Source organism: Homo sapiens, chromosome 17 (assembly GCF_000001405.40).
Source record: "Homo sapiens chromosome 17, GRCh38.p14 Primary Assembly".
NCBI lineage: Eukaryota > Metazoa > Chordata > Mammalia > Primates > Hominidae > Homo > Homo sapiens.
Genome location: NC_000017.11, coordinates 20,259,772 through 20,279,532, shown reverse-complemented (window position 1 = coordinate 20,279,532; position 19,761 = coordinate 20,259,772). Strand labels below are relative to the sequence as shown.

Below are 19,761 nucleotides of genomic sequence, written 5' to 3'. Positions count from 1 at the left end.
CTGACCAACATGGAGAAACCCTTTCTCTACTAAAAATACAAAATTAGCCGGGCATGGTGGCGCATGCCTGCAATCCCAGCTACTCGGGAGGCTGAGGCAGGAGAATCGCTTGAACCCAGGGGGCAGAGGTTGCAGTGAGCTGAGATCGCACCATTGCACTCCAGCCTGGGCAACAAGGGAGAAACTCCATCTCAGAAAAAAAAAAAAAAGAAAAAAAAAAAAAGAAAGAAAAGTAACCTTCAACTCCGTTAACCTTCTACCCTCAGAAAGACTGAATTCAGCCTGTGAAATCATAAGTGTCTTGCCATGAAATTACTTCTTTTTCCCAAATGAACATTTCACGAGTAAGAGAATGGAAAAAATGCTCAGTGCAGATTCACCTGGGACTGTGATTATCTAAATAGACTCACATGCTGTCCTGGGGGATGGAGAAGGAACAGCAGCAAAAATCAAGGCCTCCTTTTTCTGAATGGTGACAAGATGATGGCTTTGGTGTTGGGCAGTGTTATGCTGCAGCAGCAGCTGCTGGCATACTTGACCCATGGAGGCCCTCAGCTGGGGACAAACAGCCCATGGGAGGAAAGAAGACCAAGGGACTTAAATCACCCTCAGTCCCCAGGAGGATGACACATTCTTATAACATTTTATTTTGAAAATCCTGTTTTTCCTTCCTGAAGCTGGCAAAACATCTAACATTTATATAAAAAATTTTAAAGTGTAAATTGGCAGTTTTGATGCAGATGCTTCCTTCAAATGACCCTGGGAAGTCAGAAGACGAGGCTAACTCATGGTAAGAACCTTTAAAAAAAAAAAGAGAGAGAGAGAGAGAGAGACAGGGTCTCACTCTGTCACCCAGGCTGGAATGCAGTGACACAATCATAGCTCACTGCAGCCTCAAACTTCTATACTCAAGTGATCTTCCTGCATCAACCTTCCAAAGTGTTGACATTACAGGTGTGAGCTACTGTGCCCAGCCAAGAACCTTTAACCAGATTAATAAGCTCACCTTATTAGTTCCCTCACTTTCTCCTGCATGTTGTAGGAATTTGGCAGGTCAGAAGAGGGAGGATGTGGGCCCTTAGCCTGTAGGGTGGCTGAGTTTCCAGTCTTCCCAGTTCCACCTCTCAGCCCCCGGCCACCACATCCAAGGGCGCTGGCCTCTGCTCTCCCTCAACCTAAGCCTCTGCTCTTATCCTCTGCCTCTGTTACCCTCTTGCTTCTAATTCTCCAATATGGACCTTGATGACTTACAGAAGCCTGGAGCCCAAATTGTTGGCAATCAAAACACTCTCTTCTTTTCCTTAAGGACATGGTGGATCTAATCTTCCCGTTTTTCAGGTAGGTGTGGTGAGGGTGGGGAGGGGAGCTATGTTCCATACCTCTGAGAAAAGGGAGGACAAATAATACAGCTAAATAGTCCCATTAAAAAAAGCCGGTCTTTCACACAGGCCAGGAATATGGGTCCAACTCTGCTGGCTGCAGAGTCGTTAAGGGTTTTCAAGCCATGGTAGCAGGCGATCTCCCAGCTTTGGTTCTGGAAGACACAAGGAAAAATCACAACTCCTGACCCAGGATGGGGTGGGGACTATGGAGAGGAGAAGGTGGACAGATGGATGCAGAAGCAGCGTGGCTGACACACGCCACAACATAAGTGGGCCTGAGGACGCTGTGCTGAGTGAAATCAGCCCCTCATCAAAGGGCACATTCTGTGTAAGTCCACGTCTACAAGGTGGCTAGAATGGGTAAATTCAGAGACGAAGCGGAACGGTGGTTAGGCGCTGAGGGCGGGGAATATGGAGTCCCCTACCCCGTGTTTAAAGCATACAGAGCTCAGTTTGGGATGATGAAAACATTTCGGAAATAGAAAGCAGTGATGGTTGCACAACCATGTGAACGTGCTTCATGCCCCTGAACTGTACACTTAAAATAGTTAAAATGATAAATTTCATGTTATGTGTATTTTACAATAAAAAAGAAAAAAAGAAAAACCAGATCAAGAACTATAAGGCTAAAGGGACAGACCACACCCCCTCTTCCCCAAAGCACCAATAAAAGGAGCTAAGTGAACTTCATTTGGCAAAAACAGATCCTCCCTGTGAAATTAAACATACTTTCATTTAGCAGCATCATTTTAAAAAAAAAGTTTAAAAAGTACTTTAAGCATATGCCCTACTTAGCAAATTGGTAAGCCATCTTACCCAATTAGGTTGGAGAGTTTCCAGTTATCCTTTTAAATGGCTGCTAAGGAGTTCTGCTTGGTCATGTGGTTGTTTCTGTCCAGGGGCACCCTGCTACCGTGAGGCTCAGTCATGCAGAAGCATCAGCCCAAGTGTCCAGGCATGTCCCCATGCATGCTGGTGACTAGACATCAGATGCCATGAGACACTGGTCTGGATCCCTGAATGGGCCACATCTGTCCCTCTCTGTCCATCTTGCTTTCTCAGCACCCTCACCCTTGCAGGCTGCTATCCGAGCCCGACTCCTCCAACTCACAGTGCTCCAGATCTGCTCCAGGTCTTTGGAGTCCTTCTTGTTCCCAGGTACGGCCCTGACTTCGGGCTGCTCCCCTGGTGACAGTGGCCAGTGGACTTGGCCCTTGCCCATGGCTCTTCCTCCATTCTACCCCAGAAAGCAGCCCTGGCAAGAGCAACTGGGCCCAGGCCCTGCCTCCAATTCTGACTTCTGACCCCAAAGGGGCCGACGGGGCTGTTTCTCACTAATGCAGCCGGCTCTGTAGCTCTGCATTTTTTAAAATGTGTTTGATTTATGATTCTGCTCCAGTTTAACAAAAACAGACTCTAGCTTTAAACTTTATGATTATTCCACTGTGGTTACCCCTCAGAGTCTCAGGCCTGGGTTTTTCCACCTCTTCAACTCACACACCTTACCACGCTGCTAGGTGCCTGGGAATCAGTAAGAAGGAAGCCAGCAAGAGAAGTCTACTAAAAATAGAAAGTGAGACAGAGGAAGAAGATAAAACACATACAGCCACAAGAAAATGTGAACAGGCTAAGCTGCCCTGTTAGAGGAATTTTCAGATTACATGTAAAGCCAAACTATTTATAAGACATAACCCTGAAACAACCAACTAAGAAAGGCTGAAAATAAAGGAGCTGGGCAAAGTGGCTCCACACTTGTAATCCCAGCTAAGTGGGGAGACTAATGTGGGAGGATCTCTTCAGCCCAGGAGTTCAAAATCAGCCTGGGCAACATAGCAACACCCTGTCTCTAAAAAAATTTTTTAAAGAATTAGCCAGGTGTGGTGTCATGTACCTGTAGACCCAGCTACTTAGGAGGCTAAGAAAAGAGGATTGCTTGAGCCCAGGAGGTGGAGGCTGCAGTGAGCTATGATTGTGCCACTACACTCTAGCCTGGGCAACAGAGCAAGACTCCAACTCTGGGGGAAAAAAAGAGAAGAAAGGAAAGAAAGTACAAAGATATATCATGCAAATAACATAAATGCAAAACATAAAATGCACAGAAAACATAAATGGAAATAGCAATATTGGTATATAAAATGTAAGCTTCTAGATCAAAAGGATTAACTGAAGTAAAAGGTAAAAACCACCAAGAAGATAGAACAAGAAACCTTTACGTATGGTTCAAAATATCTGGAACATAATCTCTCAGCAATCAAAGCTTTTGACACAAACCACAGTCAGAGTAAGAGATTTCAACACACCTGACTCAGAATCCAGCAGATCAAGTGGCCACATGGGGACAGGGGACACTTGAGCTCCCACTGAGGTAACTGGGACCACTGATGGGCCTTCGGCTGCTCAGGCCTTGAGCCCTGAGAATAGGCAGGGGCCTAGCCTTACCTCTATGCAACTAACAAGTCCTTTCAGAGGACTTTCATCAAAACAAAAGAGCATCAGTTCCAGGAAAAATGTTAAGTCTTCACTCTTATACTTTTCACAAAAATTGTCTGAAGCTTAAATGAAAGGTTTCCCAACTTCTACCCAACAACATTTTTGGGGTTTTCAGGTTTTCATTTGTCAGACTGGACAGAACTTTGCAACTAGAGTATAAAACATTCTCTTTGGCTAAGAATTAATTCTGTCATTAATCCTACTACAGAAGGTGGTAAAATAAATACCTATTGCACTTTTTACTATATACAGATGATACAGGGTTTTAGAGCTCACTAACATCATAACAAAAACAAAAACAGGCCTTATTGAGACAAAACTTCATTTATACCAAAGCAACCAACAAGAAGCCAAATGTCTCATCAATAACTGAGTATAAAAAATCGTATATTTCACATTAAAGAATAACCACAATCAAGTAGAGTTTCCTTCAGGAATAGTATACCATGACCAAGTTGGAATTTTGCCCCCAGATATGTACAAATGTTCCCCTACTAGTAAATGTATTTATGTTATTAATTACATAAATGGGTCAAAAGAGAAGAAACCATATGGATAGCTCATTAAAAGCTAAAAAGGAATTTGATATAATTCTTACCTATTTCTGGACTTAAAACATCCCCCGGTAAGCTCAAAACAGATGCAAGCTTCCTTTAGTTGATAGAGTATTTATCACAAAACAATACAAGAATCTCATTTAGGTGATTATTAAATTATTATTAAATTATTTAATAATATTATTAAATCTTATTTCTGTTATTACGAACAGAAAATAAAACAAGAATATCCACCATCAATAGCATTATTCAACAGTGACCTGGACTTTCATGAATGCAATAAACCAAAAAAAGTACAAGAGGTATAAATATTAGAAGAAACAAGGCTGGGCACAGTGGCTCATGTGTGTAATCCTAGCACTTTGGGAAGCCAAGGCAGGTGGATCACAAGGTCAGGAGATCAAGACCATCCTGGCTAATGTGGTGAAACCTCGTCTCTACTAAAAACACAAAAAATTAGCCAGGTGTGGTGGCACGTGCTTGTAATCCCAGCTACTAGGGAGGCTGAGGCAGGAGAATCACTTGAACCTGGGAGGCGGAGATTGCAGTGAGCCGAGACTTTTTTGAGACTACCTCTCAAAAAAAAAAAAAAAAAAGAAAAAAGAAAAAAAGGAAACAAAACTATTGTTATGTGTAATAGTTTACCTAGAAAACCAACAAGTATAATCAAATAATGAAAAATGCCAGGGCATTAAATTCATCAAAACAACGCATGCCACAGCACTGACTGACACTCACAGGACCCTGGCTGAGGCCCAGGGCGCTGTGCCGCACTCAGGTCCTGCTCTCATTTCTCTGCTCGGCAGCAACCTGTGGCAGAGGCCAGACCCACAGAGGCACAGAAGGGAACAGCAAGTCCAGACACCACTCAGTTCCCATTCATACCTAGGCCTATCAGTTAGTTCAAGAGAGATGATGAAATAAGTGATGCTGAAATAAATAGCCATCCATCTGGGGGAAAAATAAAACTTGACCTAACAAACACAAATGCACTCCAGAAGGAACAAAAGGGTGTGTGTATTTGTATATAATATAGTATATATGTAAAGGGTACTTGGAACCTCTATGACAGATAATGGTTAATATCCTTAAGGAGAAAGGAATAAAGCTCTCTGAGGCCTCCAGGCTGATGGCAATGAAACGCATGCATTCACAATCTCACCCCCTCGTGAAGCCCCAGAAAACCACAGAAAGGAATTTTTCCTCCAAAGGCATTAACAGACAAGGAAAAAGGGAACATGAAAGAAAGCAAAAAGACAAAACATTGGCAGCTGAAAAGTCAATGGACAAGAGATAACTAACATAACAGACCGAAGCAAACTAAATCCCAGGCCAGCAGTGGCGAAGGGCAAAGACCCAACCTGATTTATGGTGCAAAATCCCTCAAAGACACAGGAAATTGGTGGCAAGAGGTGCTTCAGGTGGGGGAATGAAGGTGGTTAAAAACAGGAAGAATGGGTTGGAGATCTGTTTATAGAGCAGCCAAAGCTCCAAACGTTCTCTCTTCTGTGCACACCCAGAGGACAGTGAGCAGTGGAGGCATGAGTGATGCAGTGAAAACAAGGGAATTAAGTGAATTTACATGGTGAGGGCTGAGGTAGTCACTCTCCACCCCCAGGCCTCTTCTTTTTTTTTTTTTGACAGAGTCTCGCTGTGTCACCCAGGCTGGAATGCAGTGGCACGATCTCGCCTCCGCCTCCCAGGTTCAAGAGACTCTCATGCCTCAGCCTCCCAAGCAGTTGGGACTACAGGCGTGCACCACCATGCCCCACTAATGTTTTTAGTAGAGATGAGGTTTCACCATGTTGGCCAGCCTGGTCTTGAACTCCTGGCCTCAAGCAATCCACCCACCTCGGCCTCCCAAAGTGCTGGGACTACAGGGGTGAGCCACTGTGCCTGGCCCACAGGCCTCTTTTCTGATTAGGTCCCACAATTCTGGTTGCCAGGTTGATGTCCTCCAGCAGGAGACTAGAAGGCCTTTCTCTGGAGAATGGATGTGCCCAAGAGGAAGGACCACCTAAAGACACTGACACCAGAAGTTCGTCATGGATATGCCACAGGAACATAGTCGCAGGCCTCATACGCAGGCCAGGGAGGGGGTCAGCTTTGCAGAGCCTCCACCTAAACATGAGCAGTCAAACCTCCAGCATAAAGATAGAGACCTAAAGATACCAATGGAATAAAGGGACTGTAGGAAACAATCTGCATAGAGAGATTTGGTGATAAAATCAACCTACAATCCTCAGTGAAATTCATATGTAACATTGTATCTGTGAAACAAGAACAGGATGCTATAAAAAATTTCAGGGAATAAAAAAGAAATCCTAGAAGTTAAAAATATGATAGCAAATATAATCAACGGAATTTTATTCAGTCTTAAAAAGGAAGGAAATTTTGACACATGCTATAACATGGATGAACCTTGAGGACATCATGCTAAGTGAAATATGCCAGACACAAAAGGACAAATACTGTATGATTCCGTTTATATGGGGTACCTAAAGTGGTTAAATTCATAGTGATACAAAGTAGAATGGCTGCTGCCAGAGGCTGGGGGAAGAGGGGAATGTCAGATTAGTGTTTAATGGGTATAGAATTTAAGTTTTGCAAAATGAAAACATTCTAGAGATTGGTTACACAATAATGAGAACATACTCAACGATACTGAACTGTACATTTAAAAATAGTTAAGATGGTAAATTTTATCCTATGTACATTTCACAATTAAAAAACAATTGAAATGATGCAAAAGCAAAAAAAAAAATGCAAAATTAAGCATTTAATAGAATTTGGAAGATTAAAGTTAGGGAAGCCTCCCAGAAAACAAAACTGTAATGCAAAGAGATAGAAATAGGGGAAAAAAAGAATATGATAATTAGAGGGCCAGGCCAGGGGGATTTCCAGAAAAAGAAAACAGAGTAGAAGAAATTACCAATGAAATAATTCCAGAAAATAAAGTCATGAATTACATATTGAAAGGGTGCAGTGAGTGCCTAGCATGATAGAAAACACAAAACTTAAGCTATAGAGCAAGGCACATCACCCTGAAATTTTAGAATCCTGGAGACAACCAGAACCTCCTATGAGCTTTTGCAGAGGAAAAAAAAATCACAAACGACTGTAATCATTCTTTTCTTGCTGCAACACTGGCAAATAGAAGACAATGGAGCGATGCCCACAAAATTATGAATGAAAATAATTTCTGACCTAAAATCTTATACCTAAAGAAACCATCAAGCATCAGGGTAAAACAAAGATGCGAGGTCATAAAATTTTACCATCTATGAACTCATTCTCAGGGAGATACTGAAGGGAAAAAAAAACAAAGGGAAAAAAAAACAAAGGGGAAAAAAAAGAATAGGATGTAGGATACAGAAGATCAAAAAAGAGAGAGGCAAAGAACTAACAGGGACTCTGTGCACCAGGCATAGAGGGCAGCCATGATGGAAGAGGTCAGAGGCTCCAGAGAGATCTCCTCAGGATAACACAGCTGCAACCCCTGACCCTTGTGATGTGTGGGGATATCTCATGAAGAGTTGCGGTTGAATGAGTATCATTTACATACAAAACTAAGTAAACAGACAAAAACAAGACGATTTTAAGTGTAAGGCAAGTAACAGGTTGTGTAAAAGAAAAAGCTGCAGCAGTGTATACTACTACATGGCTAATCTATGAATGACACTCACAGCATCTTAATGTGAACTCCAGATATGTACAACCATGAAAGAATGCAAAGACAGGAAGCATGGGGGGGGTGGGAGTGAAAAAGAAATAAACCCTCATCTTTCACAGTAGGAGATCAAAATACAACATCTAAAATGAAAAACTAGAAATAGCAGTTGATAAACGTGCTAGTCAGCAACGTAGAGGTAAATGACAAAAAAAAAATCAGCAAGGTGACTTGAAAATGCTTGACTCTGGGGAGCAGGAAGCAGAGCTCTCAGGCCGGCTGACTGCTTTGCTCATCAGGATCTCTGCATACCTGATTGTGGGCATGCAGAGCTTTGATAAAAATAAAAACCAAAAGAAAACCAAAAAGAGCTATCACAAATTTTGAGGAAAAAAGATGAACATACAAATAGAAAAGCAAGCAAAGCAACTGTAGTAGTAATTCACAGAAGAAAGATATAAATAACTAACAAGTTGATAAAAAGTGCTTCTCCTTCATCTGCAATGAAAAATTAAAAGAAATGCCATTTTCTCCTCTTAGGCTGAAAAAGATCAAAAGAGTAGGTGTATCCAGTATTGGGAATGTATAATCTTGTACACTGTATAGAGAAGTGTAAACTAAATAACCTTAATGAAGGCAATTTGAGAATATATATTAAAATGGAAAGTGTAACACACCCTTTTGCAAAAACAAATTCACTTCTAGGAACTTACTTTACAAAAATTTGGCACTATTTCACAACTATTTAGCATAAGCATAAAAATGCATGGTAAGTGATATTCATCATCATGGCACACTTTTTTTTTTTTTCCCCAGAGACAGGGTCTCTCTCTGTTGCCCAGGCTGGAGTGCAGTGGTGTGATCATAGCTCACGGAGGCCTTGAACTTCTGGGCTCAAGTAAGTCTCTGTCTTCAGCCTCCTGAATAGCTGGAATCACAGGTGTACACCATCGTAGCCGGCTAATGTTTTTTTTTTTTTTTTTTTTTTTTTTTTTTTTTTGGTAAAGACAGGGCCTTGCTATGTTGCCCAGGCTGGTGTTGAACTCCTGGTCTCAGCAGTCCTCCTGCCTTGGCCCCTCAAAGTGTCTGGATTACAGGCATGAGCTATCGTGTCTGTTCATAACACTGTTTTTTTTAAAAAAAATTAAGGTAAAATTAATGTATCACTTTCACCATTTTAAACCAGTTTAAAGTGTATAGTTCAGTGGCTTTTAGCACATTCCCAATGTTGTGCAACCATCACCACTACCTAGTTCCAGAACATTTTCATCACCCAACAGAAAACCCTGTACCCACTAAGCAGCCACTCCAGTCCCTATTGCCCTCTCTCCTCAGCCTCTGGCAACCGCTCATCTGCTTTCTGTTTCTGTGAATTTGCCTATTCTGGATATTTCTTATAAATGGACTCATACAAGATGTAGATTTTGCACCCAGCTCTTTCACCTGGCAACACGTCTTCAGGGAACATTCATACTGCAGCCTGTGTCAGTGCCTTACTCCTTTTTAAGGCTCAATAAAAAGCCCGTGTTCAATGATCAGGGGAAGGACCCACAGGACGCAGCATGGAGTCATGGCCACGGCTATTCACAGATTTATTACTGCGAAAGGACACAAAGCCAGATCAGCAAAGGGAAAAGGCACAGGGCAGGAAGTCCCGAGGAAACCAGGCACGTGCTTCCAAGAATTCTCTCCAGCAGTCACGGACATGTTTAATTCCCCTGGCAACAAGCCATGACAACACGTGTGAAATGCTGCCAACCGGCCGGGTGCAGGGGCTCACACCTGTAATCCCAGCACTTTGGGAGGCCGAAGCAGGCAGATCACCTGAGGTCGGGAGTTTGAGACCAGCTGGGTGTGGTGGCACATGCCTGTAATCCCAGCTACTCGGGAGACTGAGGCAGGAGAATCTTGAACCCGGGAGCGGAGGTTGTGGTGAGCCGAGATGGTGCCATTGCACTCCAGCCTGGGCAACAAGACTGAAACCCCATCTCAAGAAAAAATGCTGCCAACCAGGGAAGCTCACTAGGGACTCAGCATCCAGCCCCTTCTGCCCAGCACATACTACATTCCAGACTCCCCAAAGGAAAGCTGCTGTTCAGCACATACCATGTGTTTGCACAAACAGTTTCAGCACCGTGAGCCCCTCTCATCAGTTCTGGAAACAATGGGAACCCTCCTGTAATCCCAGTTCCCAGACGCCAGCCAAGGGCCAGCCTTGCAAGCAGCCTTGCTAAAGAGAGCCGTCCCAGGCCTACTGGGTTAAGTCTTTTTTGCACAGAGGCAAAAACATGGCTGCCAATAGCATCTGGGCTTTATATTTTAGAGTAATCTTTCTCAGTTTTATTTCCAAAATTCCCAAGGAATTGGGGATGTGCCCAGCTTAGACTTGTCAGGGCTGCTTCTTCGGTGTTTGTGCAGACTAAGGTGGGAGAACGTGTCCCTCCCCATCTGCTGTGCGAACAGTCTGACAGGTCTCTACACACTTTGATATTTTTGTTCAGAAAGCCACTTTTATTCCTTGAAGTTTCATACCTCTGGGCATGCACACACCACTGAGAGTGGGAGTGGGAGCGGGTGCCCCACAGCACACTGGCTCGTGAGAGAAAACCAACCAGAAACACGGCCACCAGGAGAGGACTGTGTCTCCCACAACATGGGAAAGCCTTGCATCTTTATTTTGCAAACAAACTCCACTGTTGTCACAGGTTGTAGGACAACACCTGTGCCACTGAAAATGTCTTCACAGACCACTGTGTCAGAAACGGTACAGAAGCAGAGAAAGTGGGTAGAAAAGGCCTCAATAGAGTGGAAGCCCACAGTGCCGCGCATCTGCTATTGAGACTCTATCATCTAAGTCAGGGAAAGGACCACTCTGATGGCAGTAAATAAATCAAAGGCTTTATGTTCTTTGAATTGTGCGTGTAGCCTTCAAGAGATCTGTCTCAAAAAAGAATATAAGAAACAGAGCCCCAAGTGACCTGATATTTTAGAGGCTGCTTGCTATTGGCTAAGCAGATTTTAGTGCTTGTTTGTGGGAACTCAGAGACAGAACAACAGAAGTTGCCTGCAACATGGGTGTTCTTTCCAGATTCAAAGCAAAATTCAGTGTGGACACACAAAGACTGATTTTTTTTTCTCCAAAAGAGAAGAAGATATAGGTCTGAGCTAACAGGTTAAAACCTGGTTCAAAGACGTCATCTGTCCCTTAATGATAGTGTAGGTGTCGCCTGCTATCTGAATTCTTGCCATACAATTTCAAAAGTGGAACAGATACAGATACATTTTCAAGTAAATCCCTATCTAAACTCTTCTTTCTTTTGATCTGAAATGCAAGAACCAAACAGGAATTCAAGTAACAGTAAATACCGGTATATATTTTCGTCTAAAAGATACTTGCAAGTATCTTCATGCCACCCATGGAGGTGAAGGGTAGCTGTGCCTCATCATGCCTCCTGGGAGGTAACAGAGGACTCAGGAGAGACTTAGAGCTGAATTCCACATGTTCATCAGAGTGACTTCCAGCCCAAGATCCCCCAGCTGAGGGAAAGCAGAAGGCAAAGCAAACTGAGCGTCCCTGGCCTGGCTGAGGTCTGAGGGCATCAGGACAGAGGAGGAGACAAAGGACCCGGTGGCACTACACACAACTTGCAGTTGTCAACCTCAAAACTCCAGAGCACCCACATGGCAATTTCTGGGCACGGCCAGGACCTCAGCACTAATGCTTTAGTGCTAGAAAGTCCCTGTTTCCTGCTGGCTGCCAGCCAGGGGGCCCTTCTTGGCTCCTTCTCACGTGCCCCCTCCCTCTTCAAACCACCAAGAACAATCAGAGTCCTTCTCATGCTTTGAATTTCCCCAACTTCTGCCACAAGCCAGAGACATCACTTGGCTTCTACAGGGGTTTGTGATTAGTGGGCATATCCAGACCATCTCCCTGTGTCATATAAAGAGGAGGACATTCTACCATGGAGAGTCATGGGGGTTATCTTCAGAATTCTTCCTGTCACACCTACCCTCCCGACTTTCTGTCCCTTCAGAATTCTTACTGGAAATTACAAATGGAAATCTCTCCATCGTAACAGAAAACTAGGAGCTTAAACTAGACTTTCAGATGAAAGAAAGGGAGGGGTAGGAGTTATCTGAGTCAGGCCTGCCCTTGGCTTGGAAAACAGCCAACACACATCAGGAGTATGAAATTTGAGGACTGAGAGTAATTTAGAGGGCCTTTCCAGGAGTGACTTATTCCAAAAAGACACCAGTGTGTATGAGTTGAGCAGAATGTGAGGAAGGGCCTCCTAGGAGCGCCATTTTGAGCTTAGTGAACTGGGCCTCACTTCGTAGTGAGGGCAAACTCACATCCTTTCACTGGGTCTCAATCCTGGGCCACTCGAGATGTCAGGCAGTTGGCCCGGAGCTCGGCAGGTGGGTCTGGCTGCGATGCTCACTTCCCAGTGCTGCTGACCTGGGTCGACCACCGTGTGTCACTTCAGCTTCTATTGGCACAGTAACGACAGTAATGACCTCCTTACTCTGACCCTCCACACCTAGGCCTTGGTGGGAAATAAAGCTTCATGCAGACACCAAAGCCCTTCAAGAGAGGGGAGCAAGTGCTCAAATGTCATCTCCCTGACCACTATGTATAAATTGTACCATTCACCCAACATTCCCAACCCTCCTTCCCTGCTTTATTTCTCTCCACGGCAATACAACCTTCAAATACCGTACATATGTTACCTTTTATTTCAGTTAACTGCCAGACCCCATGAGGATTTAAGTTCCATGAGAGCAGGGACTGTTGCCTGTTTCATTCACTGTGGAATCCCCAGGACCTACAATATATATATATATTTTTTGAGACGGAGTCTTGCTCTGTCGCCCAGGCTGGAGTGCAGTGGCGCTATCTCGGCTCACCGCAAGCTCCGCCTCCCGGGTTCACGCCATTCCCCTACCTCAGCCTCCCGAGCAGCTGGGACCACAGGTGCGTGCCACCACGCCCGGCTAATTTTTTGTATTTTTTAGTAGAGACGGGGTTTCACCATGTTAGCCAGGATGGTGTCGATCTCCCGACCTTGTGATCCACCCGCCTCAGCCTCCCAAAGTGCTGGGATTACAGGCGTGAGTCACCGCGCCCGGCCCCCAGCACCTACAATATTACCTGGAGCTGAACAATATATGGAAGGAGGCTGAAAGAAACCAGCTATGACACAAATAAATGGAGAAACATTCCATGCTCATGGATTGGAAAAATCAGTATCATTCAAATGGCTATACTGCCCAAAGCACTTTACAGATTCAATGGTATTCCTATCAAACTACAAATGTCATTTTTCAAAGAATTAGAAAAAACTATTCTAAAATTCATATGGAACCAAAACAGAGTCTGAATAGCCAAAGCAATCTTAAGTAAGAAGATCAAAGCTGGAGACTCGCATTGCCTGAGTTCATGTTATATTCTAAGGCTACAGTAACCAAAACAGCATGGCACTGGTATAAAAACAGACACATACACAAGTTAGAGTATCCAGAAATAGAGCTGCAAACCTATAATCATCTGATCTTTGACAAAAACAAGCAATGGGAAGAGAATTCCCTATTCAGCAAATGCTGCTGGGATGACTGGCTGACCATACGCAGAAGATAGAAACTAGACCTCTACCTGTCACTACATATAAAAATTAACTTAAAATGGATTACAGATTTAAATATAAGACTTCGAACTATAAAAATCCTAGAAGAAAACCTAGGAAATAACTTTTTCAACATTGGCCTTAGCAAAGAATTTTTGGCTAAGTCCCCAAAAGCAAGTGCAGCAAAATAAAAAATTGACAAGTGGAATCTAACTAAACTAAAGAGTTCCTTCACAGCAAAAGAAGCTATCAACAGAGTTAACAGACAACCCATAGAATGGGAAGAAATATTCACAAACTATGCATCTAATATCCAGAATCTATAAGAACTTAAATCCACAAGCAAAAACCAAATAACCCCATTAAAAAATAGGCAAAGGAAATGAACAGTCACCTCTCAAAAGAAGACATATATACATTCAATAAACATGAAAACACGCTCAACATCCCTAATCTTCAAAGAAATACGAATCAAAACCACAATGAGATACCATCTAACACTAGCCAGGAGGCTATTATTAAAAAGCCAAAAAATAGCAGACGCTAGCGAGGCCATGGAGAAAAAGAAATGCTTATACACTGCTGGTGGGAATAAAATTAGTTCAGCCCCTGTGGAAAGCAGTTTGGAGATTTCTCAAGGTACTAAAAATAGAACATTTGACCCAGCAATCCCATGACTAGGTATATACCCAAAGAAAAATAAGTCGTTCTACCACTCGTATGTTCATTGCAGCACTGTTCACAGTAGAAAAAACATAAAATCAACCTAAGTACCCACCAACAGTGGGTTGGATAAAGAAAATGTGGTAAATATACACCATGGAAATACACAGCCATAAAAAAGAACAAAAATCATGTCCATATAAAAGAACAAAAACATGGATGCAGCTGGAGGCCACTATTCTAAGCAAACTAACGCAGGAACAGAAAACCAAATACCACATCTCACTTATAAGTGGGAGCTAAACGTTGAGTACATATGGATATAAAGGGCCAGGTGCAGTGGCCCTTTTTATGTATATGTATCCAGTAGCCCTTTATGTATATTACAGGTGTGAACCTGTAATCCCAGCACTTTGGGAGGTCAAGGTGGGCGGATCACCTGAGGTCAGGAGTTCGAGACCAGCCTAGCCAACATGGCGAAACCCTGTCTCTACTAAAAATACAAAAATTAGCCAGGTGTGGTGGGGTGCACCTGTAGTCCCAGCTACTTGGGAGGCTAAGGCAGGAGAATTGCTAGAACCTGGGAGGTGGAAGTTGCAGTGACCTGAGATTGTGCCACTGCACCCCAGACTGGGTGACAGAGTGAGACTCTGTCTCAAAAAAAAAAAAAAAAAAAAAAAAAAAAAAAATCCGTCTCCAAAAAAAGCCACATGGATGGCAACAATAGATACTGGGGACTACTAGACAAGGGAGGAAGGGAAGAAGGCCTGAGTTGAAAACCTACCTACAGAGTACTATGCTTACTACCTGGGTGACGGGACCCATAACTCAAGCCTCAGCATCAAGCAATATACCCTTGTAACAAACCTGCCCACTCACCCCCTGAATCTATAACTAAAGCTGAAATAAAAATATATATATATGGAGGGATGTAACATAACCTTTCACGCTGTATTTTGATGAAATAAAAGGAAAGTTATTTTAAGTCAAGTACACATGGTTCCCGGTTTTCAAAAAGTTTTCACCAGTTATTTTTGGCTTCCTAATTCTGAGAGAACAAGACTATGAGGTGTCTCAGACAAACAGGTCTAGACATATTTTGTGAAGGGTAAATAAAGCAGACACATGGTCATATTTCTAATTTTACAGAGATTTCATGATGAATGAAAAGTACTACAGGCAAAATGAGTTTTGGGTTTCATCAAACGTAAAATGTTTTGAAAACGAATCCAAAATGTTCACACACACACACACACACACAAATCACTCCAGCAGGAAATAGTGTTCTTGTGATCCTGACTGGAAACATCTTATTGTCTGTCTCTTCCCTGCATTACAACAAGGTTACATCATAGAAGGCCACTCCTTCTGAAAACGTGAATTGTCTTTTCATATGCACTCTGGCAGCTGCCTTGGTCCATTACTGTCAGGTGGGGAACAGCACAGGCGGCATCAGTGGAGTCATTCTTGAATGACAGCTCTTTTTAAATGTTTTCTTCAATTTCCCATCACCATTCCTATTTTCTTTACGCTAAACCTCCTGCAGGCAGCTGCCTCCCTCTGACTTCTTATTCTTTTTTTTTCTTTCTCCTTCTTGATATTTATTTATTTTCTTTTAATATATTTTTATTATACTTTAAGTTCTATGGTACATCTGCACAATGTGCAGGTTTGTTACATATGTATATATGTGCCATGTTGGTGTGCTGCACCCATTAACTCATCATTTACATTAGGTATATCTCCTAATGCTATCCTTCCCCCCTCCCCCCACCCCACAACAGGCCCCCGTGTGTGATGTTCCCCTTCCTGTGTCCAAGTGTTCACATTGTTCAACTGCCATGAAGGAAGGCCCCTTGGTTACAGCCTCCCCAGCCCATCAGTCACGCTGCCAAGGACACAGGAAAGAATAAGAAGTCATAGCTATTGGTTCTTATGGCTTCTTATTCTTTCCCGTGTCCTCGGCAGCGTGGCTGATGGGCTGGGGGAGGCTGTAACCAAGAGGCCTTCCTTCATGGCATGGTCCATCCTTGAAACAGGGCAGAGGCAGAGTGGACAGGGTAGCAGGAAGAATAAACAAGGGTCTGAGGCGAGTTTATACTTTGGGAGCCTCTATTATTGGTCAGTAGCATGACAGGTTTTTCTTTTCTTTTTTCTGACCCACACTGCACTACAGTGGTGCTATCTCAGCTCACTGCAGCCTCAAACTCCTGGGCGCAAACAATCCTGCCCCCTCGGCCTCTCAAAGTGCTGCGATTCTTTTTCTTTTTTAACATAAAGTGAAAAGAAGGTAATGGCAAAGATACAGGATACACATACTCTGGGTAGATTCTGGTTTTAAGACATCTGACTGCTGACATGACAGAGACTCCCAGCCCTGCTAATTTACTATCTGGGATGGATCTTGGCTGAGGCTGGGTTTTTCTTGCTAGCTTCTTTCATTTTCCATCCCCACCTCCCTCAAAAGCTTCAGCCTGGGAAGGGAGTATTACGGTGCTGGAATCTTCCGAAATTTTAGCAAAATATTGTTAAGAATGCAGTAGGAATTGCCAATTTTAAAGAGGGTATCTATTTGCATATGAAAAGGTGTTCAGCCTCCCCAGCCAACAGGAAAATGCAAACCAAAACCACAGTGAGACAGTACTACACATTACCCACATGACCTTGAGTAAAAAGACTGACAATACCAAGTGTTGATGTGAATGCAGAGAAATAAATCTCTCATAAATTGCTGGAGAGACATAAATTATACAATTACTTCAGTCATCTGTTTGGCACTATCCACTAGATTGTATGCATACCCTATGGCCCAGGAATTCCATTCTTAAGCATGTATCCAGCAGGAATGAGCACATATGTTTTTCAGGAAATACGCACAAGAACATAACAGCGTTATTCATAATAGCTCCAAACTAGAAATGACTCAACTCTCCATCAATAATCGAATGGATAAATAATGGTATAATCCTACAATGGGTTACTAAATGGTGAAGAAAATGAACAAATTACAGCTATATGCAACAATGAGGATAAATCTCACTGACTCAATACCGTGTAAAAAAAGCTAGCTGCAAATATTACATAGTTTTTTATTCCATTTGTAATAAAATTCAAATGCAAGCAATACTAACATAGTACTTACGGATGCATACTTTTGTAAAAATCTGGAAGGAGAATTGAGGACAATGGTTATCTTAGGGAGTACTGAGGGCTATGATGGGAAAGTCATAGGAAGGGTCTGTGGGAGCTGGTGATGCTCCTCTTCTGGATGGGAGTGGTGACTGCATGACTTTTCACTTCCTCACAGTTCAAGAAATTATGATTTATATTTTGTGCATTTTATCTTTGTGTATTTCACAAGAAAAAAACTTAAACTTACATCAGGTATTACTTCCCTTTTCTGATATTCACAGAAAACAGATACTGTCCTAGAAAACAAAAACTCTTAAACTAAACGCAAACAATTCTCAAAACAATAGAAACAAAATGTTTGGAGAAGTTTTGGAGGCCCAACTACATAGGACCTTTATGCGAATTAGGCAAAGCACTCTTCTTCAGGAGGGTAATTCAGCAAAAGCTGTCTTCTTGGGTGGAGGCATCACTGCTCGGGGAGCTTGTGTCTGCTTTTTTTTTTTTTTTTTTTTTGAGACGGAGTCTTGCTCTGTCGCCCAGCCTGGAGTGCAGTGGCGCAATCTTGGCTCACTGCAAGCTTCGCCTCCCGGGTTCACACCATTCTCCTGCCTCAGCCTCCCGAGTAGCTGTGACTACAGGCGCCCGCCACCACGCCCGGCTAATTTTTTGTATTTTTAGTAGAGATGGGGTTTCACTGTGTTAGCCAGGATGGTCTCGATCTCCTGACCTCGTGATCTGCCCACCTCGGCCTCCCAAAGTGCTAGGATTACAGGCGTGAGCCACTGGAGCTTGTGTCTTCTTCTGAGACAGCAGGGACAGGACTTGGCTTCAGCTCATCCCCACTATAGCATTCTTTCATGCATTCCCACTGATCACAAAACCCACACCACTACTTCACTGACATACCTGCTTAACAGTCATGCAAAGAAAATAGCCATACTGTTTTTCCGCACTCTCATAATGTTTAAAAGAATAAAAGAATGTTTAATTCTTTTACTTAAATAATTCCAGAAACTGGCCCTAGGAAATCCAACATATCCAACCAAAGTTGCAAATGTCCTCATCTCAGGGAAGAATGCTAAACAACTGATTTACAGCCTTGCTGCCACCAACCAGAACACTAGGTGGCCCATGACTCAAGACAACCGTCGCCAGCAGATAAACTGACCCACATCCCCTACCCCTCATATGATCTACCCAGCCCAGCCCACATTCTCTATGTTGATATCAATTCCTGCACTTTGCTTAATAAAAAAATCCCTACCAGCTCATTTCAAGGAGTCAGCCAGAGAATCCTCCCTCTCCCGTGCTTCCTCCCTCATGCCTGAGGGATAAGGGCATAAGCTCCAATAAAGCCTTGTTGAGAAAACTCTTTTGGCCTCATGACAATTTCTATCGCATTGACAGCCCAAGAACCTGTGGCCAGTAACACTCTGACCAAAGAAAAAGGTCCCCTTCCCTCGGGAGGTGCAGCTCTGCGTGCAGCCATACATTTGGTGGGTGGAGTGCAGACCGTTTTTCAGTTGCATTTGCCTCTGTCACGGTGCCTTTGGGCAGTGCACAAATATCAAACATTCCCTGGCAGCCCTGCCTAGGAGAATAGAAAGATGACAATTACATGCATATTGGCCCATCAAGCACAGGCACACAAGGAACATGTATTGGCACAGGACTACTACTGCCCAGGGGCAGCTGGAAGTTGGCTGATGTTGTCCCTTACCGCATAACCTTGTGTCTTCTTCTGGCACCATTTCAGTAGAGCATTGCGCTTGGAACCACCGTATTCCCGGGCCAAGGCTGCCAGAGGGTCTTTTCTTTCCACACTGGTTAGAAAGAAGAGCACATGGTAAGGAGAAGATGCTAATACTTAGAATTCTCAAATACACAAGAAATAAATACCTACTTTAGAAAAGCAAAAGTCTAGTTTATCCAGCAAGATTCTAAAGAAACAGCCGAATTAGTCACATTACTATTTTGTGATATCTCACAGTATAAAATAAAAATTAAATTGTGCTTCCTGACTATCATAAATTTGGGGAGAGTTTTGTTACATTTTGTTTTCAAATCCATTTGTTGCTCATCCATCTAGTCTTTCATTTGTTTACTTAAGTACAGTATCATTTGAATTAAAGATACGTAAACAAAACACACCCTACATGTTTCAAGACTAAACCAGTACCTAAATAACATGTAAAAGGTAGATTGGCTGGGTGCAGTGGCCCACATCTATAATCCCAGAACTT

At 43.0% G+C, this 19,761-nt stretch overlaps 1 protein-coding gene across 25 annotated transcripts in view; it reads right to left on the bottom strand.

The window, feature by feature from the left end:
• The window catches only part of SPECC1 (sperm antigen with calponin homology and coiled-coil domains 1), a 309,668-nt gene that overhangs the window by 39,494 nt on the left and 250,413 nt on the right, over positions 1-19,761 (bottom strand). For all 25 annotated transcript variants that reach the window (NM_001386083.2, NM_001386078.2, XM_047437065.1 and 22 more), the window contains one exon: positions 19,239-19,341. In NM_001386083.2, coding sequence (NP_001373012.2) covers positions 19,239-19,341 — 103 coding nt within the window. The remainder of the gene's footprint in view (positions 1-19,238; positions 19,342-19,761) is intronic.